Genomic DNA, 27,661 nt, shown 5'->3' on the forward strand with positions numbered 1-27,661 from the left:
GGAACGATACTGAATCAAAGGTTAAAAATTCGAGGCTATAGCCAATTTAAGAAATTTAACATAGAACCGTATGTTAGTACTATTAAAATGTCAAGTATATATCTACATATAAATGAATAAAACAAAAACACACTGAAATAAAAATACAACTAACACAGAATCAGTATAGGAATGTGAAAGAAAAATCAATTGTGAGTGAGGGTCACACTGGAGTAATACTAATGTGTTAACAAGGTTGTTGAATGGTACTTCTTATTCTGAAGGTGTAAAGGTCCATTGGTCATTATCTTCTAGTAGGACCTATTTAATCACTGAAACAGCAGAACCACATGAATGGCACCATTTACTATGTGTACAGGTAAAAGAGGAGACCTGTGAGGCTTGTGACAAGAAACCAGGACTTCCACCTCTCAAACCATTGTTATATCCACTGTATCACTTGAATTGGCCACATAATAAGGAAATCAAATAGACTGTGTCTCTCAAGCTAAGGAATCACTGTACAGTGTTTGTAGTGGGCAGAACTGAGGCCTTGGTGGGTTTCAGCTGCAAAGAGAACAAGGCAGGAAAGAAAAGTGCCTATAGGTTGCTCATGAGAAGCAGACCCTGAAATCCCCTGGTGTTTCCCGAGGAATTGTCTTAATACTTCCCCTTAACAGTCAGGGATGGCTCTGGAAATCCTTGGGCAGAAGACCTACACTGAGAGGGAAACATGACATAGGCCAGAAGAGTTCAGGAAGATTCCTAGATTATGACGATGGAGGCTGCTTTTGCACTAAGTTTGTTCAAGCAACAAAGGCTCACTCTTTGGTAACAATAATGCTGTGACAGCTAAAATGCTCAGAGCCCTTTACTCTCTGTGTCAGGTAGTATTTGAAATCCTATACATCTGTAAATGTGTTAAATCCTCATTACATCTCTGTGAAGTAGGGATGATAATTAATCCCCATTCACAAATGAGAAAATAGAACCTTGCCCAAAGTCACACTATTCAAATCCAAACAGTCTGGAGCTCTGTATCAATAAGGGCTCAAAAATCCTACAGAACTGATAAGAAAGTGTTTTACTGGAATACCAAATGAAGGAACGAACACAGGTTGCTAGAAATAATGTTTAGTCAGTTTTCCCCAGATCTCAAAGGCCAAATCCCAAATTGAAGAAGCAATTAAGTTCTATTTAAAAAATAGACTTCTTGAGGTAGCAATATACTGGAGTTCTATTTAAAAAGAAGGGTGTCATCCATTAAAAATATTTAAAAGCAGCTATTATCTCTTCTTAGCATTCATCTGAAAATCAAGGGTCAGCAAATCCAATTTCCAGCCCACTGTGGAAATTTATTTTTAACACATCACTGCCTGATAGTAATCTATCCTTTCGTTGAGAGTTTACTATCCTAATGATTCAGTCCATTTCATTGCTGGATAGCTCTGATTATTGGGGATATTTTTCTTATATTAAGTAAAAATCTGTGTCCTCATAACATCTACTATCTGCTAAAATAAAATACCTGGTAGGCTTCTGCCTTTAGTCTGTTCTCCAGGCTATATACCTCTGGTTTCTTCAACAGGTTTATAAACATGGTTTTGAAACCTTTACTTGTCCCTCACTTTTATTCATTTACCTACTGTCTTAGTTCAGTATATATCCTGGCTGTTGGCAATCATGTTTGCCCCTTAATCAGACAATCTCTCACCTTTCCCTCCAGCACTGATACTGCAGTTCAGCACACATTATTGGATTCAAGGGCTCCCACTGCTTAGGCAAGAACAGGAGGTGAAAGCGTTCTACTCTTCATTCTGGAATGAGGGTCAGGAGAGGGTATGTATTTCTGATAACTGGGTTTGGAACTTAGAATGTATTTTCTCATCAAATATGGGATGAGTGACTGAAACAGTTCTATTAGATCAATGTTTTCGATACAATTTGGTTAAAATAGAATTTAGTTAATGCTGCCCTGGAAACTATCTTTTAATGGAAAAATGCATTCTCACTCCAAATAAACTTATAAAGGAGTTATTAGAGTATAGCTAATTGATACATAGGAATGTACTTGCATATTTGAAAAAAATTAGAAAATTATACCATGCAGCCATGTAAAATCAATGTTAAATATGTGGGTCTCATTCTATCAATGAAACAGTCCTTGTGTACAGTGAAATAATAAATAAAATGGGCAGAATTTAAACACAAAAGATACTTGGGAATTAAAAAAAAGGTTTTGCTTTATTTTGCTATCATAGAAAATACATTTAACCAACCAGAATTTACCCTGGAATTTAGGCCTGTTTCAAACACAAAAGAGTTTGTCCCTGCTTTGTGAAGAAATTACATGGTTCTAATATTCCACTGCTGAAAGAGCTTTGAAAAAATGCTCCAAATTTAATTCCATTGTATGTCAAATTTAAAAATATATGTTAAAAAGTGAGTTTCTGAATCCAAAGTTTTTAGTTTTTCAAAAAAGGATAGAAAAAAAAAACAATTATTTTTTTTCACTTTTGTACCTTTGAGTGGAACTCAAGTAACAGAAAAATGTTACCCTCAGTAGATCCAAATTATTCTTGCAGTTTGTTTCTACTCATTCTAGTTTCTAGTCACGTAGCGTAACAGTTGTTAAAAGCTCTTTTTTTTTTCTTTTTTGGTCTAGAAGAACTCTAATTTTTTTGTTGTTTGGCTGAGAAACCAATATTAGAAGTGGTGTAAGTATTGTATTTTTGAAGGTTAAACTTGAAGTTATTAGGAAATAAAGTTTATAATTGAATTCTTTATCCAGCCACCTACCTGCTAAACTACCAAAGGTAAGCTTTCTGCGGCCCACCTTCTCAACAAGCCAGACTCCCACAAGTGTGAAAATGAAATTTGTGAAGGCTGTAACTGAAGCCAGCCATATTGCAAGTCTATCATCTTCAACACCAGACATCTGCAGAATGGTTGCACTGTAGTACCTGCAAAGCAATGAATAAAACAATTGCTATTGATAGTTACCCAAAGAAACAGGGTTATTTTGATAGAAAAAGATGTATTCAATTTGAAAAAAATATAAGGAGAACTACAGTAATAACATCAAATTAACGTGGGAATTCATGCAAGCTGTTGAAAAGATCACAATATAAAGACTATGTTCAAATAAATTTATTTTGGAGTTTGTATAATCAAGAAAAGGCACCTGAGCAAGTAGATAAGGTTGAAAGCTTCCAAAGTGATGCACATCCCACAACTAGGGACAGTGGCAGCTGGTAGTTTCACTAAAACTGTATCACTTTAATTGGCCACATAATAAGGTTATGTTATATTAAGCTGCAAGTCCATGGAATGAATCAGAAGTCATCATTCACTGTGAATTAATGTCCTTAAAAGACTGCCATAAGAGAATGTAATATAGTGGTAAAAATCTGGGACAAGTGAAGGAACGCCTCAAAAAAGACACAATGAGTAAGACAGTGTCAGAATGTATCTAGCATTGTGTAAAAAGATGAGAAACTGACATGGGACCCATGAGAATCATTTATGTTTCCCGAAAAAGGGTACTCTGGTGAGCTAAGTCTCTAGCATGATTAAGCTCTGTAGACTCATTTCGTGCTAAGTGAACTCACTGGAGACTGGCTTTTAAAAGACCATAATGCCAGTTTGTTGATGCACAATGGAAGATATGTCTGGCACATTTAAGGATGACAAGTTTATCACAAGACATTTCTTTTCTGGTGGAAACATTAATAGCTAAACCAGCTGATTATTTTAAAGTTAACCTGAAAACAAAGAAAACAAAATACTGCTGGTGAGTCACTGATGAAATGTGATAGAATTCAAATCTTAAATACACATTCTGAACCATGGCTTTGCCCAGCTTTTCAAGCCATTCTAAAACAAGTTAGCTTTACTCACATCAGACAGTGGTCATCCAAGCAATATGTTAAATCAGGCTGAATATTTCCATAGTTAAAAATCTACAGTTTGTGAATATTTATCAATACCTTCATAATATTTCAAAAATCAAATCTGTTTTGAATACGTTTAAGTCTCATTGATTCATCAATGGCTTCTGTCTACTATTTTTTAAACTAATGATGATGGTTCTTATCTAAAATTTTAATACCAACATGGACTCATTCATCTTGAAAAAAAGTGTTTTCCTTTTTTAAATTAATAAACCAAACCTATAAATTAACTATGTAGCATGAAGGATGTGTTTTACTGATCACACTAAAAAGCTGCCAACCATTTTAAGACTGAATTCTGACAGCTGTTGCAAAAAGAGAAATTCCCAGTGGAATTACTCCCATCATCATGAAAACTGCGAATGTTTTGCAGTCAGAGTGTAAAGTGATGATAACAATTATGAAAACAATTCATTCCATTTGTGCAGTGTTTTATAGTTTCCAAGTTCTACCATATACATTTTCATAAAGACCTGTATGGCAATGTCAAACCTTACATGTAATCACTAAGAAATTAACATAAATACCAAATCTAAAAAGGCAGAAAACAGAAATATTGAAAGAAAATTCAAATATTTAAAGCCAAAAGAATTTGACATGTGTCATGCTACTAAGTTTCAGAATCTTCACAATAATTTAAGAATAAGAATAGTTATATTGTGCAAAATAATTCTTCCATATAGAGGCAGGGGAAAATTAAAACAGAAGCTATTTTGATGCTTTCATTTTCAATAAAATAAAACAATGAAATCACAAGTGTTAAATGAAGGGATAGAAAGGAGAGTAGTATAAAACAGAATAAGTTGTCTAAATTTTATTTAAAATGAAAAAAAGTTCCATAGCTATACAAAGTATTTTAGGTACTTAAGTTATAGAGTCAGAATGTAACCAAAAACTGACCTGGGATTCAGAAACCTGCATTCTAATAGCACCTCCGTGTCTTCTGTCCAGGTTAGGTAACATAATCACTTGTACACTGAATATTTATTTATTAAGTACCTAGTGTATAAGCTATGTGAATTACTAAGATCCCACAGATATGTTATTAAATCCTGTTGCTGCCCTCAAGAAGCTCATAGTTTAATTTAAAAGAATGAAATGGAAAGACAATATTTTAATATCACGACACATAAAAGCAACAGTGAGGCACAAAGGACAGAGCAAATAATTTATTTGCTGTAGAATATTTCTTGATTTTCCAGGGAATTAATGTTAGGGTTGTGCCTTGTCATAGAGGTTTGCCAGCAGGTCTGACGATCTGGGAGGGCACTGGAGGTCACTGAAATGACACATCTGAAGGACTAAAGTGCAAAATGGTATGCTGGGTTCACAGACATAAGTACTTCACCTTGATTGAACACAGAATGCATACAAATGAGGGGCCGGGCACGGTGGCTCACACCTGTAATCCCAGCACTTTGGGAGGCCAAGGCGGGTGGATCACCTGAGGACAGGAGTTCAAAACCAGCCTGGCCAACATGGTGAAACCCCATCTCTATTAAAAATACAAAAAATTAGCTGGGCATGGTAGCGGGCACCTGTAATCCTAGCTACTCAGGAGGCTAAGGCAGGAGAATTGCTTGAACCTGGGAGGCGAAGATTGCAGTGAGCCAAGATCACACCATTGCACTCCAGCCTGGGCAACAAAAGCAAAACTCCATCTCAAAAAAAAAAAAAAAAAAAGAATGCATACAAATGAGAAGTATGATGTAAGGCTATAGCAGAAGCTTCTGTTATGGAGGGGACTTGAATGTAATGCTCTATGTTTGGACTTTGTATTGTAGGCAATGGGAAATCACAAAGCGAAGTTTAAAGAGAAATAACAGGATTAAATCTGTTCTATGAAGACATTACTCTGGTGAGAGCCAAGTGGGTGAACTGGAGGCTGACTGAACTAAAGGTATATTGTTCTGAAGCCTATTTCAAATCATTATACTGGCAACAGGCAATTGCAGATTATCTGGATTAATGGAAAACAGTAAGGGGAGGAGCTGAAATTCACTGACAGCCTTGTATCTCCCTCTGAGCAAGAGCTGCGACTTCAGCCCACACTAAATTTTGTCCTGTACAGACTGCCTTGATTTTCATCTTCCTTTCTCTAACCCTGGTAAATATATTAGTTTGTGTTGCTGCCATGACAAATTACCACAAGGTTAGTGACTTTAAAACAAAACACATTTATTATCTCACAGCTCTGTAGGTCACGAATCTGACAAGTGTCTCACTTGGGGGTCAAAAATCACAGGTGTCAGTAGAGCTCTGTCCCTTCCTGGAAGCTCCAGGGAAAAATCATTTCCTTGTCTTTTGCAGCTTTTAGAGGTCTCCTAATTCCCTGGCTGGTGGCCCCCTTCCTCAGTCTTCAAAGCCAACAATGATTTGTCAAGTCCCTCTCATGCTACTTCACTATGACCTTTGCTTTGCCTCCCTTGTGACTATATTGGCTCCACTCAGAAAATCCAGAATAATCTCCCTAATTAAGGTAAACTGATTAGCACATTTAATTCAGTCTGCACCTTAATTTCCTTTTGCCATGTAATGCAACATATTCACAGGCTCTGGGAACTAGGATGTTTGTATGTCCTTGGGGGGACCATTATTCTGGCTATCACAGTAAACGTACTAATAAGCAGTAAAATAAGCAAAAGCCAACAGTTATAATGAGAAGGAAGGAATGAAAGACAAGGACATCTATTTAAAAGGTAATCAGTTCTAGAAAAATCAGGCATAACTACATTCTCTTTCACAGGGCAGGACATGATATATTTAGGTCAGAACTATTCACAAACTTAATTTTAAAAGTCAGGTCATGGTCTTATGGGGAGATACATTTAACTTACAATTACAAAGTACATTCCAATGTTTTCATAAATAATGATGTCAGCCAACCATTTAAGTAATGGGCTACCTACCACTGAGTTTACAATCTTCTAAACCTTTATGCAGTAGTTTGCATTTTCAAGGGACTGTATTCATTCAAAAGTTGCACAAAGGCATAAGGGAACCCTCTTATGCATAAAAGAACAATATGAACAACTGAAAAAGGCTTTCTTTCCTTTTTAGACTCAAAGCAGGCATACCTTCTCCTTTCAAAGTCATTTTATAATATCTATCAGACAAACTATCATCTTCTTCAAAGATTCCCTGGGCCAACTTTGGTCATCTCACACATACCATCTCTTCCCCAGAGTGAAGTTGAAAGGTTTGCAACTCTCTGTAGACATTTAAGAACAGCCAAGGCCGGAAATCTACGTGCATTGCTATCTTAGAGATTATGTGACACTCAGCTTCCAGTCCTGAATTTTAAATCTGACTCACACAAAACAGAAACATATAGGCTTTGGAAATGACAGTCTATCCTAATGCTGACTTTTAACTAGCAATAAAAGACTAAACATGAATACTTCATATGCTTAACAAAATACATCTACTAAGTTCCTATTTGAACAAAGCATTTCCTAGGAATTTCTGAAAAAGCTATCTTTTTCACTATTACTTGCATTATAGAATTAACAGTAAAATAATTGTCTGCTGGTTTATTGAATTTATCTACCGTAAATTTTTGAGAAGAAATTAAGAATAATTATATTAAAAAACACCTGATAGACTTACTAAATTAAAAATTAAAGACTGATAATAGAGAGGTAGAACATGAAGATAATTATATGAAAACCTTAGTGACATAGACACTATGAGTTAGCTCTAAAATTCCTGGCAGCCAAGGCAAAATAGTAAATATTTTAGAAAATTTTAACTGTTTGACAAAATAAAATGTATCAGCTCATAATACAGACAATTTTTTTCTGGCATGGGACTATAAAGACGTTAATTTCATAAATAAAAGGGATATGGAACATACTCTTCCTGACAAGAGCCAGTCTAAGTAGGACAAATTAACTGCTGACTTACTCAACAGTCTTATAGGCCATATTCATATTGTGATATAGGACAAGTTACATGAGAAAGTATGGAGTAGTTTATTGACTGTAAGACCTTAAAGATTTCCATTATCTAAGTTATGTTCTTTAGCTCTTTTAGTTCCTAGTGCTATAAATATATATATTTTTTGGTACCATATGCCAAAGTACATTGACTACAGAGAATTTAGAATGCCATTACATTAAAAGAGGTTCTTTTAACTAAAAATAATTATATTTTCCTATTGGGAGACTGTTTGTATACTCAAAAACAAGGATAACTCTATTAGTCTGCTCTTATGCTGCTATAAAGACACATCTAAGACTGGGTAATTTATAAATAAAAAGAGGTTGAATGGACTCAGAGTTCCACATGGCTAGGGAGGCCTCACAATCATGGTGGAAGGCAAAGGAGAGCAAAGGTATGTCTTACACGGTGGCAGGCAAGAAAGAATATGCAGGGGAACTACCCTTTACAAAACCATCAGATCTCAAAAGACTTACTCCTTATCACAAGAACAGAATTGGAACCCCCCCTCCATGATTCAATTACCTCCCATTGAGTCCTTCCCATGAAATGTGGGTATTACAGGAGCTACAATTCAAGAGGTGATTTGGGTGGGGACACAGCCAAACCGTATCAATAACTATCACAAGGGCATCCACTTAAATGTTAGTTCCAGAAAAATTTAGGCAATAACTATATTCTCTTTCATAGGGCAGAAGATGACATATTTAGATCAGAATAATCCACAAACCTAATTTTTAAAAGTCAGGTCATGGACTTGTGGAAAGATACACTGAACTTACATTTAAAAACATGTGAATTCCAATGTTTACAGAAATAATATCAGCCAACCATTTAAGTGATGGGTTACCACTATATTTACAATCTTCTAAACCTTTATGCAGTAGTTTGAATTTCTTCTCAAAAAATACATCATATTTTCCATCTGATATAATTTGGATATTCATCCCTGCCCAAATCTTATGTTGAAATGTAGTCCCCAGTGCTGAGGTAGGGCATGGTGGGAGACGTTTGGATCATGGAGGTGGATCCCTCAAGGTTTGGTGCTAAATCATGAGATTTGGTCATCTAAAAGTGTGAGGTACCTCCCCTGACCCACTCTCCTACTGCTTGCTCCTGCTTTTGCCATGTGATGTGTCTGCTTCTCCTTTGCCTTCTGCCATAATTGCAGGCTTCCTAAGGCCTCCCAAGAAGCTAAGCAGATGCCAGCACCACTCTTCCTCAAAAGCCTACATAGGAGTAAACCAATTATACCTCTTTTCTTCATAAATTACCAACTCTCAGGTATTTATTTATAGCAATGCAAGAACAGCCTAATACAGAAAGTTGATACCAGGGGTGAAGCATTGCTATAAAAATACCTGAAAATGTGGAAGTGACGTTGGCACTGTGTAATGGGCAGAGGTTGGAAGAATTTGGAGGGCTCAGAAGACAGGAAGATCAAGAAAAATTTGGAACTTTTAAGAGACCGACTAAATGGTTGTGACCAAAATGCTGATAGTGATATGGACGGTGAAGTCTAGACTGCTGAGGTCTCAGGTAGAAATGAGGAACTTATTGGGAACTGTAGCAAAGGTCATGTGTATTATGCCTTAGCAAAGAACTTGGCTGCTGTCTGTTCATGTGTCAGGGGTCTGTGAAAGCTTGAGCTTGAGATTGATTACTACAGTATCTAGTAGAAGAAACTTCTAAGCAACAAAGCATTCAAGAAGTCGCCTGTCTGCTTCTAACAGCTTATCCTCAGATGAGGGAGAAAAGGAATTACTTAAAGTTGCTGCTTATATTTATAAGGTAGGCAGAGCATAAAAATTTGGAAAATTTGCAGCCTGGCCATGTGGCAGAAAAAGAAAAAAGCTTTTTTGGGAGAGGAATTCAAGCATGCTGTGGAGCAACCATTTGCTAGAGAAATTTGCATAACTAAAAGGAAGCCAGGTGCTAATAGCCAAGACTATGGGAAAAAGTCTTGAAGGAATTTCAGAGAACTTCACAACAGGTCTTCCCATCACAGGCCCAGAGGCCTAGGAGTATAGAATGGTTTTGTAGGCCAGCCCAGAGCCTACTGCCCTGTGCAGCCTTGAGACACTGCTCCCCACATACTGGCCTCTCCAGCTCCAGCTGTGACTCAAAGGGGCCTGCCTAGGTATAGCTCAGGCCACAGCTCCAGAAGGTGCAAGGCATAAGCCTTGCTGTCTTCTACATGGTGTTAAGCCTATAGATATGCAGAATGCAAAAGTGAAGAATGCTTGGCAGCCTCTGCCAAGATTTTGGAGGATGCGTGAGAAAGCCTGGGTGCCCTGGCAGAAGCCTGCTGCAGGGGCAGAGCCCTCACAGAGAACCCCTACTAGGGAAGTACCAAGGGGAAATGTGGGGTTGAGCCCTCAGACAGAGTCCCCTATTGCCTAGTGGAGCTGTGAGAAATGGGCCACCATCCTCTAGACCCCAGAATGGTAGATCTACTGGCAGCTTGCACCCTGCGTCTGGAAAAGCCATAGGCATTCAACTTCAACTCATGGGATCAGCCCTGGGGACTGAACCCTGCAAAGCCACAAGGGTAAAGGTGCCCAAGGCCTTGGGAGCCCAGCCCTTGCATCAGTGTTCCCTGGATGTGGAACATGCAGTCAGAGGAGATTATTTTGAAGCTTTAATATTTAATTACAGCCCTGCTGGGTTTCAAACTTGCATGGGGCCTGTACCCCCTTTCTTCCTTTCTTTTGGCTGATTTCTCCCTTTTGGAATGAGAATATTTGTTTACCCAATGCCTATACCCCCAGTGTATCTTGGAAGTAACTAACTTGATTTTTATTTTACAGGCTCAAAAGTGGAAGGGATTTTCCTTGTCTCAGATGAGATCTTGAACTTTTGAGTTAAGCTGGAATGAGTTAAGACTTTGAGGGACCATTGGGAAGGCAAGATTGTATTTTGCAACGTGAGAAGGACATGAGATTTGGAAGGGGCCAGAGGTGGAATGATGTAGTTTGGATATTTGTCCCCATGCAAATCTCATGTTGAATTGTAATCCCAAGGCTGGATGTGAGGCCTGGTGGGTGTGTTTGGGTCATGGGGTGGATCCTTCATGGTTTGGTCCTGTCTTAATGATAGTGAGTTCATACAAGACACAGTCATTTAAAACTGTGTGGCACCTCACCCTGCACTCTCTCTCTCTCGCGCTTGCTCTTGCTTTTGCCATGTGACGTGACTGCTCCCCCTTTGCCTTCTTCCATGATTGTAAGATTCCCAAGGCCTCCCCAGAAGCTGGGCAGATGCCAGCACCATGCTTCCTGTAAAGTTTGTAGAACCATAAGCCAAGTAAATCTCTTTTCTTTGTAAATTACTCAGTCTTAAGTATTTATTTGTAGCAATGCAAGAATGGCCTAATCATCATCACATGGAAAATACATCAATAGCTTTAATAGAAAAATGTTTTACTCAAGATACAAACATCTTAAGAACTATTTTTAAAAAATTAATGAAATTTTCAAACATATTTTCATGTATTTGGTACACTGAGAAATCCTCTTTGTACATTATAACATGCAAGACATAAAGCCAAAATTAAAAGTTAGAAAAGTAGAAATCACAATTGCACATATTTCATACGAGGGATTTGAGCTAACATACTAGTCAATTGTATCATACTACCATTAAATCAAGCAATGATACAAAAATCATAGAAACCTGCAGAAAGTTTACTTATTAATCACATTTAATATATTAGAAAATAATTTTCATAATTTAAATAACTTTATTAGTCTTTTTGGAAGAACAAAGAAGAAAATGTGCCAATGGAACTTATAAGGGATTTCTACATATGCCAATGTTGCCAATGTGACCTACCCTCTGCCTCAGAAGTGAGTTCCCTCACTCTGGCTTCATACCTCTGGCGGCCTCAGGAAAGACCAATTACTTGTCTCACCTCGCTCAGCCACATCACTGACTTTCCTTTAAGCATCATGGAGAACAATGAAGTAAGCTCTCTCATCTGAACTCTAATTCACCAATTTGCCACATTGACCTATTAATTCGTTCTATAAAATACATGCCCACTGGACATTGAACATATGGGACTTCACATAGGCTCACATTTCCCATTTGTTGAATTGTATGTATAACAGGTTACATGTGATTGTTCCCAAACCTGTTTATGCCTGTCATTGTAATTATATAATTCAATCAAATGTTACATAAAGCAACAAAACATAAAATACTAAAAGAGAGTTGTTGCATTAAAAACAAAACTTCATGCTTTGGAAAAAGCCAATAAAGGTTGAGTTATTTTAAAAGTTGTGTGGGTAACACAACCATAAAAAATTAGGGATAAGAGAGAAGTAAAAGTCTAGAAAGATTTTGCCCTTGGGTTTCTTCATATGTGTCTTTCAGTTCTGGTTTACTTGAAAGCCTGGAATTCATAGATGACAATATGAGTGTGGTTTATGTTAAAAAAAAAACAATCTGGAAACTCAAACAGTGGATATGATGAATTATTGTACAACTAGAAATAAAATGTTTAAGGTATGTATGCATCATTTCCTCACGACTGTCTTTTTCAGTTTACTAAAAAAGTGCTGATTCTAATCTTGTCAGACAACACTTTTCACCTCGCCTCATCATGTCTCAATTATCTGCTTATTTCAGCAACAAGAAGGAGTCTAAGATTTTCAGATCACCTATTTATACCTGGCCATTTACCTCCACACTAACCTGGTAACATTCACTAATTTGACTCAATCTTCCTCTCATCTCAGCCGTCCCATACTCTTTTTCTGTGCCCTGTGAACTAAGTCTAGACGTGAGGCATAACCTTCTTACACCTTGGATCCAGAGGCTAGGCTGTTTTCTCTCATATTTTAGATACCTCTGGGCCTGAGGAGTGGGAGAGGATGAAAAGAGGGGCAAGAAATGACTGTACTATCCTCTAATTCTCACTTAGTTGTCTGTCTACTTTTTGGTCACTGTTCATTCAATAAAGATTTCAGTACTGGCCTCACAAGTTTCTTCTCCATTCTTACCCCTGTATCATGATTCTCGGTGACAGTGGCATCAACATGGACCATCCACACAACATCTGAGTCTCTTTTAACTGCTCTACCACCAAAATCCTTTAAGTATCTTCCTCTCTGGCCAGCACAGCCTACTCTCAAGGCTCACTTACTTGAATTCCCCACTGACATAATATGTCACTCTCATGTAGACTTTATTCCAGACACTGCTTCTTTTTTATTATCCATCATCACTCATTCCTGCCCCTTACCCACAATAATACTTACTATGTGAGTACTCTATATTTCCCAAACCAGAGGGTCTCAGATATTGGTGTGCTACAGGATCTCCTGGAAGACTTGTTCAAAAACACAAGACTATTAGGCCCTGTCCCCAGAATTTCTGATTCAGTAGGTCTAGGACCAAGAATTTGCCTTTCCAACAAATTTTCAGGTGATGCTGATCCTGCTTTGAAAATTACTTCCCCAAACCATTGCTACCATCACGTTCATCATTCTCAAATCCCCTAGCCTGTTAATCCTTTGTTATACTTATGTCATAAATTCCAACTCTACCTATATCCAGTTATTCTTCTACTCTGCATTTACATCTAGCAGCTGAAAGGGTCTCGAGAAAAACAAATTATCCTCACTTGAAATTTCCGAAGATGCACACTTTCCAACTCTCCAAAGGATGCTTTCATAGCATTTCCCTTCTTTCCACTATCCCAGTCTATGCAGCCTCAGGTGAAGTCTTGCCTATAATTCACCAAGAAAGCGTGAGCAATCAGATGGGTGCTCCCCTGCCTCATCACCACCAAATCTACCCACATACCCGACCAGTCTACATTGATTCACAAATCTCAATCAGCACTCAAACACCTGTCTTCTAAATTCCTTCTACATTTGCTGCTAGAATTATTACTCTTTCCTTCTACTTTTCCCCAGAAATTTATCTATACCTCTTTTAGTAACACACACCACTTTGTTTCTGGTACTAGAATTACTTAGATATACATCATATTTCTATTTCTATCATATTTCTATAAACTCCCAAAAGAATAGTCTATGTGTGTTTCACTCTTGCAACTACCAAAGCAGGTTTATGAATATTTTTTAGGCGCTTAGTGTTTATTTACATGAATGAATGGGTTCATATGGCTTTCCACCTCTTTTTTCCCTTATTTATTTTTACTCAGATATAATTCACATACCATAAAACTTTACACTTTTAAAGTATATAATTCAGTGTTAAGTATATATCATTAAATTTTAATCTCTTTAATAATTATAATAAGTAACGCTCATAAGAAAGCATTCAAACAATCCAAAGGATTAAAGAAATTTTTTTTAAAAAAGTCCCTGGAGTAGGATGTAAAGGAAAGGTAGAGTGTGTCTTAGTTTTTCTGAATACGCCTCACCACCATCACTCTCCTGATTCAGCTGCACTCCTTTCTACCTCACTGCCAGTTTGTGTTCCCAGGTGCCCTCATGGCTGGAGAAGAGTACATCAGAAAATGACTACATATGACTTGGGAGCTTTTGATCCAAACAATGATACAAACTAGTCTTTTCTTCCATCATTGATTGTCTCCAAAGTTCCAAGTTGTGTCCATCTAACACCTCATTAAACCAAACAGGACGGAAAAAGGTGACAGTTTATTTAAAATTTTTCTCAGGAGGCTTAAGAGCCTGAGTGTGAAAAAAGGGCAGGTCATGGCATTTACTTCCTGAAAAACACTGCTCTTGGCACTGACTCTCAAAACGGTATTAAGACTGTTTTATTTTAAGCTGTAATGGCCTTAAAGGTTCACTTGTAAGTAAAACTTTGCAAGAACTTTCATTCTATATAAAAGCAACATTTTAGAGCTTGGTCACAAAAATGTGATTATGCAAATATATGTAGTTTTATGCACATTATTTATAACTCTGAATCTCTACGGAATCACAAACTGGGAAAAGAGGTCAGGAACATGCAGGATGAAGTGAAAACAGCAAAACACGGAAGTATATTCACGTAGAATCTCATCTATTAAAAATAATCACAGAAAAATAAGGCAAATCCATCAAAACGTTTAGACAGACTATCTCCTGGTGGTGAGATTTTGATGCCTTTTCTTCTTTACACATTTCCAATTTCCTATAATAAGCATGTATTATTTAAAAGTTTTGTTTGAAGTGTTAACATTTTGTAGATTGGAAAATGTCATACATTGTATTCAGGCACCATAAGCCTCCAATTCTGTAAACTAAATCTGTATTTTTAGTGTATGTATGTATGTAGAGATGGGGTCTCACTATGTTGCTCAGGCTGGTCTCAAACTCCTGGCCTCAAGCCACCCTTCTGCCTCAACCTCCCAAATTTCTGAGATTACAGGCATGAGCCACTGGACCCAGCCAAACTAAATCTAACACTATTTTAAGTTAAACAGACGTGAAATTATAATCACAAGGAACTTACACATGTCTTCAGAAAATAAAAGACCCTTTAATTTTTTCCTTCGCCAAACTTCGTATTTTCTTAAATTAATCTATGTCCTTTACCTCTGGTTGCCTAAAACACTACAAATAAGTCACAGTAATAAATTACAAGCCTAACTATTCAATTAAACAAATATTTAGACATTTTCATAGAAAATAAGTACATCATGGCCAAATGTCTCAATAAGATGCAATTAAGATACACTTATTCAGGACGTACTATGTGCCAGATGTAGCAGAAGATACAAAGGCAATATCTGGGGACTGTTCAGGGAGGGTGGGAGCCCATAACACTGAGGGTGACCGCCATACATATAACAAGGACACACTGGTGGGCTGAGTTCTATGACAGCAGTAAAGGTAAAGAGCTGCTGGAACATGAAGGCAGCGATGAGCTCCACCTTACAGTCCAAATAGTTAATCAGTGATGCCAATTAGCCACAGTACTGTTTCTCATGTCCCAAGATTGAAAACAATACAAAGGGGCAAGGAATTCAAGATGCAAGTTATCACAGGGTTTAGCTAGAGAAAGCATTTAAAATCAGCCAAGGATCATACATGGGGAGAACTGGAAAGAACCACAAAGACTGTTAGTCATAATTAGGATGATAAACATCTATTCAGGTGCCTGACTAGAAAAACCATAGTGGCAGAGACAGGTATTATAGCCAGGAAGGAATTTCTTGATTTTGACTTTCTAGATGACAGTGATATGAATTGTGACTACATTTAAGAGTTGCCTTTCAGGCAGGGGGCTGATGATGAAATGGAAAAGGAGCTCTGTGCACTGCAGCTCATGAGGCAAAAGAACTGAGTGGGGAAGAAGGATCACTGGAGGAACAGGAGCTAGGAAGGCCAACAGGACTGCCAGTACCCAAAGATTGAGGAAAACACAGACTAACCTCACTTGAAATTCCCTACTCTCTCAAATGAATGCTTTCATCTCCCGATGAAAAGAGTGGGCTTGTAGAAAAACAGAGAGTAGGTGAAACAGAAAACAACACTGCAAACAAGGTGCTAAAGTAATGGGCTTTATTCAGTCATCTAACATGTAAGAAGTACAGAGAGAATCTCTGTACCAAATATTGCATATTTGGTATATTTTTTCCTTGATCCCCGCTTCTACAATGTGGATGAAGCACTTCTATGGCATGGCTTACCTGTTCTAGACATCAAAACCAATAACTATGAGTTCCAATTATTACAAAAAACTTTCTCTGAAAAGATAAATATTAATGAATATTATATTACCACCGAAGCACCCAGAGAAAAATTATCTCTGGCCTTAGTACATAGGAATTCTTGTCCTCCTCTGAGGAATTAATTCTCTTCTACCTCGTGAATCATGGAATAAAACATGTCTTCCCTTTTGTACTAGCTGCTAAAACATTTAGAGCAACATGGTTCTCAAACTTTAGTTTGAATTAGAATCATCTGAAGATCGTTCCCAATGCAAAATTCCCAGTTGTCTTTCCTCTTTGTCCAGCTCCAGCCTCCTCCTACCCAGGATTCTGATTCATTTCAAGAGATTCTAACGTATTTGGTTCAACAACACTTTAAAAAAGTCAGGTTTTGTGACCCAGTTTGTATAGATATCACTCCAGAGCAAATGTTTTGTATAGAAACCATCTTCTACTTTCAGCTATTTCCTAAATCACTAATTTTAAGGTTTCTTTTACTTTACTGCTTCTTCATGTGTTTAAGCCCTCTTACACTTCTGAAATAAACAGGTCAAGGTTAAAGTGAACAGACCTTTCAATTGACAGAGATAAATTTTATTGTTCCTTTTCCAAATATCAGGAAAGAAAGATGATCAATTTTTTAACAGCAGAGGAACTAGTTGAACTGTAACAGCCCTGGGCAAAGAGAGGTCTGACACACAAATGTATTATTAAATAGTAAATTAGGCTGCTGGCTTGATGCGGGCATATTGACAGCGCTGTGCCCTTTGATGTTCAAAGGGAGAGGCCTATAATTACACTTGGTTCATTTCAATGCATACATGCAGCACTAAAACATGCTTGCTCAATTATTAGCAGACCGGTAGGACCTTTCACAGCTGACAGCAAAAAAAATCTATATGTATATATGAAGTGTGATCTGAAGAAGAAATGCAATTATCTATCAGTCAGCATACATTTATTTAGGGGGTACTACATGACATTCATTTTAATTCTCAGATCCCACCGAGAAGTATTGAACCATCTGGCTAATTCTGAAAAATAGAAAGAATTAGGGAGATATTTCTGAGTTAAATGTTTTGGTGTGTTTGAATTGACTATATTGTCTTAACTCTCTACTTTTCTTTAAGTGTGTAGAATTGGTTTTAGAAATGCCCTTTTCATTTCCTGTTCTTTATTATGAAAATTTAAAGCTACTTCATAAGAAAATACAGAATAGAGAAACAAAAAGAATAACGGCTAATGGTCATTGAGTATTTTCTATGAATCTAAGAGACTCACTTGCAGAGTTGGAACTGAGGGCAGAAATAATTTCCTGATAAAAGAGGAAAAGAAGTAATATTTTTGAGCACTTAACTAAATGCCAAGTAGTGTCCAGATGTGTTTTGCGTATGTTAAATCATTCAGTCATCAAAAATACCTTATGAAAATGCAAACTTGATTGATAAGAGGCAATACTAAACATTTTAGGGTATAATTAACTCAACAGAATAGCTCTACAGTCCATTCTCATGCAGATTTAGAGTAAAAAAAGAGACTGTTATGGAAATTCTTACTCAGTTTATGCACGCTACACACAGAACAAAATGTAAACCCTTATTCATATTTAACACTTTAAATTTTTTTGCAAAAAAAAGTATTTTCATTTTTGATAAAGTCTTTTGTCTAGTTTAGCACTTTTGCTGCTAAATAAGTTGTCACTAGTAGTGAAATTCATAAAATACAAAAGTCATACAAATATTTAGTTAGACACCTCCAGAGATGGGCAGATGGATGGGCAGCCAGTCTGTTACAAGTTATATCCCAAAAGTACCCTGCCCCTTAAGGGGGATAAGGAGCACAGCCAGTCCTACAGCCTCAAAGCCAATAAACTCTCTTCTCCACTGAGGGCTCTAGAATCAATGAAAATACACCCAGAGCAGGCTTACAGTGGAATGTAAAAAAGGGACTTTTCACAACAGGGATAGAAAAAAGGGGATAAAAAAGGGAAGTAGAGGCCCTCACTCCTTGTGTGTATCACGGTGATGGTGGGGCAAGAAATTATTAGATTTTGAGCAGGAGTTTTTTTAAGCACCAGAGGGTAGACGTCCTTCTTCTTACAGCTTCTTCTATTCCAGTGACCATCGCTTAGGTTAGTTATTCTAATTCCATGAGGAAATAGCCTATCATTCTGTTGTGAAGACCATTTTATAATTTGTCCAAATCCTTTAAAAAAATTCCAGATTTTCTTTCTCCTTGGCAAGGAAGGAATAGAAGTGACAGTATCACTGATGTAGTATATGTTTATTCTTGTCATTGAATGAGGTCTGTCTCATGGTTCTCCTTCTTACTGATTCAATAAGGCAGGAGTGGGAGAGAGATGGTTTGAACAGACCAGTGATCAATAATCCTTTTCCTTCTAATTTCAGGAACCTCCAGAGTCAGTTTGCCCCTGCTTCGTATCCCACATCACCACCCCACTCTCAGCCTTGTGTTGATGGAATGCTTGGAAACTCTATTAGACTGATCTGGCAGATATCAACTGACAGATTGATTGCACTGACTTAGCAATAAGCCATGGAGGATCCATGTGCTTCTGGAGAAGTAACAGTGCCATCTGGGCAGGCTGCTTCAAATGCCCACATTCTGCTGCCTGCCCAGTTCATGGGAGAAAATGCTTATGGATATAACCATTCTAAGTTTTTATTTATATTTATTTATTTATTTATTTTGAGAAGGAGTCTCACTCTGTCACCCAGGCTGGAGTGCAGTGGTGTGATCTCAGCTCACTGCAACCTCCGCTTCCCAGGTTCAAGCAATTCTCCTGTCTCAGCTTCCCGAGCAGCTGGGACTACAGGTGCATGGCACCACACCCAGCTAATTTTTGTATTTTTAGCAGAGACAAGGTTTCACCATATTGGTCAGGCTGAACTCGAACTGCTGACCTCAGGTAATCCACCGTCCTCGGCCTCCCAAAGTGTTGGGATTACAGGCTTGAGCCACTGTGTCCAGCCCATTCTAAGTTTTTACTTAACATGCAACTTAGCAGGGTACCTGTAATTAGTGACAGGACAAAAACCTATCCTACTTTTGAATGTTTATTCTTTACCTGACAGGACAGAATTGCAAGAGAGCACAGTACTAATTTCACTTTTTGTGAACATTGTTTGCTAATAATGTGATGTTTACAATGGCATAACATCAAAGAAGTTTGTCAACACAGACAATCTTTTGAATATAGTGTTTTCCTCTATCTGAAATTCTCACAAGTAACCAAAATTTTATAATATTATATTAATAACTGATGCAACTTAACTCTATATTGTGACACATACTACTATGATTTGACCCACATAGCTATGATCTGTTTATATTTCAATAAAAATAACTAAAATTATTTCAGATTTCAAATAAATATATAATAGTAAACCATTTTTCTTGTGAACAGTTCAAAGTGTTTACTTTATAAAAATACAAGTCGGGATTCAATAATTAAAATAAAAACTCCAAATTGAGCAATATAACTTAAATGTTGACTGTGATGTGGTTTTAGATATATTTACAAACATAAACTAGATAAAAGAATTGCTCTTATTTTTGCAAAAGCAAACCAAATGTTGGCTCATATCATATTATTTCATTTTAAAGTTTATTAGGCTTATTAGATCTTTCTGCAGATCATATATATCTGACAATTTACTTATTTTCTATTTATATATCACCATCAGTTAAAACCCCAAATTTGTTATCAATATAACATTTGTTGATAGTTTTTAAAATGTATTTTTAATTATTACTTTATTCTTTCAGGATTTATATATCTATATATTTAAAGTATTGGCAGAATCTTGCAATGAGAAACTTTAAGATATATTAGTATAAATATAGCCTTATACTCTAACAAATTACCCTATATTTTACAACTGCTGTAAACTATATGAATATTTGCAAGGTAGTCATATACTATTATACAGAGAAAGTGAGTAGAGGCCGACTTTACGCTTCAGTGGTAAACAACCTTTTTTTTTTTTTTTTTTTTTTGAGACCAAGTCTCACTCTGTCACTAGGCTAGACTGCAGTAGCACCATCTTGGCACACCACAACCTCTGCCTCCTGGGTTCAAGCCATTCTCCTGCCTCAGTCTCCTGAGTAGCTGGGACTACAGGTGCCCACCACCACGCCCGGCTAATTTTTGTATTTTTAGAGAGACGGGGTTTCACCATGTTGGCCAGGATGGTCTTGATTTCTTGACCTCGTGATCTGCCCGCCTTGGCCTCCCAAAGTGTTGGGATTACAGGTGTGAGCCACCAGGCCTGGCCATAAACAACCTTTTAAAGGCCAAATCTCATTTGTTGTTTTTATTATCCAATATTTACAAAACTCTCTATAATCATTTTTACTGAAAATAAATATAATTCTTTGTATCTTCATCAGCTTCTACTTTCAACTAATCTCTGGCCAATAATATTTTACACTTCTACATAGTAGTCTTAAGTCTATACTTGCCAGAAGTAGCAAGAAAATTACTACATTGGGTAGAAACCCGATAATCTGTAAAATAAGCCAGTCACCAATTTTAAGTAATACCAGTCTATATTACTCTTTAAGTCCTAAATCAAGCAATTACTAGGTATATATTAATATAAAATATTGAGTTATATGTAATGAAGAAATAAAAAGAATATTATTCTCCTTACAGAGAAAACCTGGCCATTTGTTTACCTTAAAGAAATAGAGATATGACTAAAGATTTATGTAAAAGGAAGTTCATTAGAGCATCATTATTATTAAACAGTATTATTTATAAAACTGAAAAAAAATACATTGTGGCAGCAGAATATCTATCCTCAAAGCTATCGGTGTCCTACTTCCCTAAATATGTGATATGTTACTTTACCTGGCAAAGGGAAAGTAAGGTTGCAGATAGAATTAAATGTTGCTCATCAATTGACCTTGAGACAGGGAGATTATTCTGGATTGTTCAGGTGGGCCTAATATAAGCATGAGAGTCTTAATAGTAGAAGACGGAGGCAGAAGTAAATCTATCTGACCTCTGTCAGATTTCTGACATACTAGACTGTAAGATAATTTGTGGGATTTTTTTCATTTTTAAGGTTTTCTTTTATTTTTAATTGATACATAACTGTATATATGTATTGAAACATCACGTTGTACTCCATAAATATGTACAGTTATTACATATCAATTAAATTTGAGGTAATTTGCAGCAGCTGTAGAAAACCAATACATATACTGAGACCCTATGTTATGGGACTGATTAAACAAATTATGGCTGACCCATACAATAAATTCTATACAGCTATGAAAAATGTTTTAAAATAATATGAGAAAATAGAACTACTCTGATATTAAGTAAAAACCTTACAAAGTGGTACATATTACATAATTTTAATTCTGTTAAGTCAAAGTATACATACATGATGCAAAGTGAAATGTCATCTCTGGGGTAAGATTATGAATAATTTTATTTCTTCATACTCTTTCATATTTAAACAATGAATCTTATATATAGTTTAAAAACAGCAAGTGGCAATAGAAAAATTCTGGACACCTAAATCACTAAGAATCTCTCAAAGTTTCAAATATACCTTTTTTTTTTTAACATTTAATTTTGAGGATGCATCTAGGATGCTTGTCCTCTGGGAAACCTTCACCAGCTCTGCCCCAGTCTCTCCATCATTATTTCCAACCTTCTGCTGAGCTCTGCCTCTGCCCTGTGACTACCATTCTATAGCATCTCTGCACTGTGTGATAACTGCTTCTTTACTTTCCTGACTCCTCCACTGAACTCTCAGCAACTGGAGGAGGGACCCGCACTGTTTCACTCCTCATTGCCTATTCCTATCCTTTCACAGAGGAGAAAACATTATCTTACATTCTTGTCTCCTCAGTAAATATCATGAATACTTTAAGCCAAAAAAGATTGGAGGCTTGTGATTTATCTTAAGAAAGCATATGAAAATCTGTAATATATTTACTCAACTCTATTGTTTCTTTAGTAAATAAATTCTAGGAGTCGTGAAATGCATTGCTTCCTGAGTTCGACAGTGAAGATTAAGGCAGGAACTTGGAAATAATGAGTATCATTTTCTGCAGCCTATTACTGCTGACAATCCTTAAGGTATGTATTACTATTGCAATTTTACATATTAGAAACCTGGTGGCTCAGAGAAGTTATGAACATGCCTTAGGTTAGTGACAGGAATAGGCTCAGATCAGGGCTCAGTCCCCTAAATCACATTGCTGCTAAAATCTAAACAGGCTCAACATTTATCTACAGTCTTTTCCAGGCATTCAGCTGAGAACATCTATCTTTACTGTGAAATAACAATTTTTTAAAGTGGTTTGATCATTATTATTAGTTGTCTATGGTTTTTCTAAAAAAATTATTGATACCATAGGAGGAGAATAATCCTATTTTGGGAAATATGGTTATCTGAACGATTTTTTTACTAGGTTTAATCAAGTCTATTAATTCATACATTAATTCTACTCTCCTATAAAGAAGAGAAGATCTATTAGGTAATTTCTGGCCTTAAAAGTTTGCAAATTACCAAAAAGCATTCATTCTACTGCAGTTTACATTCCCACTTCTGCTCCACATAGCATGCTACTTACATTGTAAGTAATAAAAAGAGCTTGAGCAGAGAAGCAGCCATAGCTATATTTCTGTAATTAATAAGGCTGCCTCTTACCCTTGTCTATCTCATTAATCTGCCTGTCTTGCAGCAAGCTGGCAAGGCCACCTTTCCTCACCCTTTCAGCTTGTTTGGGTCACAGGAACAGCTGAGCTGACTTGTGTGTGTGTGTGTTTCTTTATTTCTCCCCAGGGAGATTCTTGGAACTGTCTGGCCCGGCCACAGGACCTACTGTTGGCATGGTACTACAACAGATCTCACTGGATGAGTGATAGACTGCTTATGATTTTATCATTGTGACTTGATCTGTGCAACTACTGACGCTTAACCGAACTTTAGTCAAAAGATTTTTTTTTAAACTACTGTAATCTTAATTTTTAATTTCACTGCTTTCTTGGTTTTGACCAATAAATTGGGTGCATTAAACAATAAACTTATTTCTTCAAACAGATTCTTATGAATCTGCCACACAACTACAGAAAATAGCAATTAATAAATATAAATAGTAGCCTGGACAATTAATACAGTACTAGTCAATTTTCTTTAAAAATAAACAATATCAAATTTGTTCCAAAGTAGTGACAGAAAAGCCCTCTGCAACACAGGTAAAAAAAATTTCTCCTAGAATGAGGATATTGACAGAAGATGAAAAGTAAATAAGGAAAAACAACCAAAGTCATATTATATTTTCCATCTTTTTCTCAATAAAGCAAAATTGTAGAGCTTTAACACTGTCATGTTAGCAAAGAAAAAAAGCAAATCCTGATGTTTATATTAATTTATCAAACCATATAATCAGAAATAAAATTTAAAAAATTTTTTGATGTTACAATTTGCTTTAAGCTACTCTAAATTCAATTAAGATATTTTCACATTATTAAGAAGGAAACCATGATAATTTAGTATTTGCATATTTCCTATTGAGAAAACTAATCCACAAGTATTAAATGAAAAAACCCAATGAGAGTTATCAAAAATAAGAAAGCAACAACATATTCAGTCATTTAAATTAGATTGGCCAATTTTCTAGAAAAATGCTTAGCAACATTCTAAATGAATACTTGGGATTTTTCAATAATTTTATCTATGTCTATTTTATAGAAAACAAAACATTCCTTTATAGTTTTATAGCTCTTTTCTTTTCTTTTGAGATGGAGTCTCACTCTGTCGCCCAGGCTGGAGCACAGTGGTGCAATCTCAGCTGGCTGCAACCTCCGCCTCCCAGGTTCAAGCAATTCTCCTGCCTCAGCCTCCCGACTGGCTGGGACTACAGGTGCGTGCCACCACACCCAGCTAATTTTTGTATTCTTAGTAGAGACGAGGTTTCACCATGTTGGCCAGGCTGGTCTCAAACTCCTGACCTCAGGTGATCTGCCCGCCTTGGTCTCCCAAAGTGCTGGAATTACAGGCATGGAGCCACCACGCCAGGCCTACCGCTCTTTTCTAATAAGAGTAAAATCCATGGTTAATTTAAAAGTAAGATAAAAGTTAAATTCTAACTAGAAAAACTGATCTTTTATGCAATAAAGATTATGTGCTTTTTCTGGAGTGTGTGTGTCCTGGTCTTAGTTTCTTCATTTTCAAGTTATTCATTAACTAAATTGAAAAGAAATACATTTTCTGCAATTTACTTTAAGCCCACAAAATAATATCCTCAGATTCTGTTAATAAGTGAAAATGTAAGCTTTCAATTTTTGAATTCACAATCCATATGAAATTGAAAAAGTAAATCCATTATTTTTATTGAACAATAAATTAACTTTCACAATTAACGTGTTAGTAGGAAGTAACACAGATGCTGAAAAAATGGTGAGATGTACAATATGTCAAAAAGCTAGACAATATACCTTTAAATGTGTAGTACATTTGATAGGCAGTTAGTACATTAATGTTCAATACATTTTAATAAATGTTTTTGCAAACATTTAGTAAACATGGCCATACCAGCATTCTCCTATAGTGCCACGTCACTAGGGCTTTGCAAAAAGTAACAGCTCAATGAACTAAATTGAAAATGGACTCTGCAAACTTTCAAGTGTCTTCAAGTTGTCCTTAGTAAGTAACATGACTATCTTAGCTTTTGAGTTAAAGTTTTATTTGGCTTTATGTTGCTTAATTCTAATTCACTGAGCACTGGTTATCCACATATTGAATCTGATTAGTAGAACATTTGTGAATATGATGATTAAAAGTAGAATATCACAACAATATTTTTCTTAAACTTATTATTTCACCCATAATGAACATTCAGATAAGTGAACCCCTAATACCTTTAATAAAAGGACTTACTCAATATAAAGAGAATAACAAACAGGGATAAAATTAGCCTTCAAGTCTGAAATAATTTGTCCTCCTGCTGAATTGATTTAGCTTGCATACTGAAGTGGTTAAACCCAGACTAAAATACAAGACAGACTAAAATTTCTAACACTGAAATGATTACAAGGGAAAATAAAATTAAACTGATCTATTTGGGCTAATGTATATCTTTTTTAGGTCAGGGCCAACAGCTAAAGCAGATATGATCAATCATTAAGTTCAAAGTCAATCCAAAAGGCTAGGTTCATTGGTAAATACCGGCTTTGGCTGGCAGCACAAGAATATAACAGATGTAAAGATTAGGGAATAAAGCAGGGAGATGCAAGAAAGATAAAGAGAGGGAAAGAAAGCAAAAAGTCAAAGAAAAAAGGGAGAAAAGAAAAAAAGAAGAAATGGATATGAAACCATCGGATGCTTACAAGAATTGTCTTTAATTAATGCTACAAGGAAAACTGGCTAGGAGAACCCTCATCTGTGCTTAAGAAGCATCATGGACCATGACCAAATCATCCTGCAAGGGAAGAGATAGAATCATAACCAACGGCAGTGGAACTTTTTGTTTTTGAGATGGGGTCTCACTATGTTGTCCAGGCTGGTCTTGAACTTCTTGGCCCCAGTGATTGTCCCACCTCAGCCTCCCAAGTACCTGGGACTACAGGTGCATATCACTGTGCCCAGCCAGAACCCTGAGTAACAAGTAGTGGGTCTGTTACTCCTAAATGTACCTCAGGATGTAACTAAACTGAATAAGTCATTTAAAAAAAGGCCGAGGCGGGCGGATCATGAGGACAGGAGATTGAGACCATCCTGGCTAATACGGGGAAATCCCGTCTCTACTAAAAATACAAAAAATTAGCCGGGCTTGGTGGCAGGCACCTGTAGTCCCAGCTACTTGGCAGGCTGAGGCAGGAGAATGGCCTGAACCTGGGAGGTGGAGCTTGCAGTGAGCCGAGATCGTGCCACTGCACTCCAGCCTGGGCGACAGAGCGAGACTCTGTCTCAAAAAAAAAAAAAAAAAAAAAAAATTATATATATATATATATATATATATATATATATATATACACACACACACACACGTGTATATGTATATGTGTATATATATGTGTATATACGTATATACACATATATACGTACACACATATGTATATGCGTGTATACGTACACACATATGTATATGCGTGTATACGTACACACATATGTATATGCGTGTATACGTACACACATATGTATATGCGTGTATACGTACACACATGTATATGCGTGTATACGTACACACATGTATATGCGTGTATACGTACACACATGTATATGCGTGTATACGTACACACATGTATATGCGTGTATATGCACACACATATGTATATGCGTGTATATGCACACACATATGTATATGCGTGTATATGCACACACATATGTATATGTATGCATATATGTGTATATGTGTATATATACATGCGTATATGTGTATATATACATGTGTATATGTATACATACATTCATATATGTGTATATATACATGTGTATATGTATACATACATGCATATGTTTATATACGCATGTATATATGCATACATATATGTATACACGTGTACATATATGTATACACGTGTATACATATATGAATGCATACATATATGTATACACGTGTACCTATATATGTATACACGTGTATACATATATGAATATGTATATATGTATATATGTGTATGTATACATGTATATACGTATACATATATGCATATGTGTATATATGTATACATGTATGTATATGTGTGTATATATGTATACATGTATGTATATGTGTGTATATATGTATACATATATGTATGTATATGTGTATATATGTATACATATATGTATGTATATGTGTATATATGTATACATATATGTATGTATATGTGTATATATGTATACATATATGTATGTATATGTGTATATATGTATACATATATGTATATGTGTGTATATATGTATACATATATGTATATGTGTATATATGTACACATATATGTATGTACATGTGTGTATACATGTATACATGTATGTATGTATGTGTGTATACATGTATACATATATGTATGTATGTGTGTATATATGTATACATATATGTATGTATATGTGTTTATATGTAAATTACATATAACTTCTGGAAGAAAACAACACTGCTCAATGAAGTTTAAATATTAATA

General features: G+C 36.2%; 2 protein-coding genes across 9 annotated transcripts in view; one reads left to right on the forward strand and one right to left on the reverse strand.

Moving 5' to 3' along the window:
• The window catches only part of REDIC1 (regulator of DNA class I crossover intermediates 1), a 282,118-nt gene that overhangs the window by 242,837 nt on the left and 11,620 nt on the right, over positions 1 to 27,661 (forward strand). The window lies entirely within an intron of this gene.
• The window catches only part of SLC2A13 (solute carrier family 2 member 13), a 351,057-nt gene that overhangs the window by 113,995 nt on the left and 209,401 nt on the right, over positions 1 to 27,661 (reverse strand). For all 8 annotated transcript variants that reach the window (XM_011537847.3, NM_052885.4, XM_017018765.2 and 5 more), the window contains one exon: positions 2,779 to 2,942. In XM_011537847.3, the coding sequence (XP_011536149.1) occupies positions 2,779 to 2,942 (164 nt within the window). The remainder of the gene's footprint in view (positions 1 to 2,778; positions 2,943 to 27,661) is intronic.

The sequence above is a fragment of the Homo sapiens genome, chromosome 12 (genome assembly GCF_000001405.40).
Source record: "Homo sapiens chromosome 12, GRCh38.p14 Primary Assembly".
NCBI classification, from domain to species: Eukaryota; Metazoa; Chordata; class Mammalia; order Primates; family Hominidae; genus Homo; species Homo sapiens.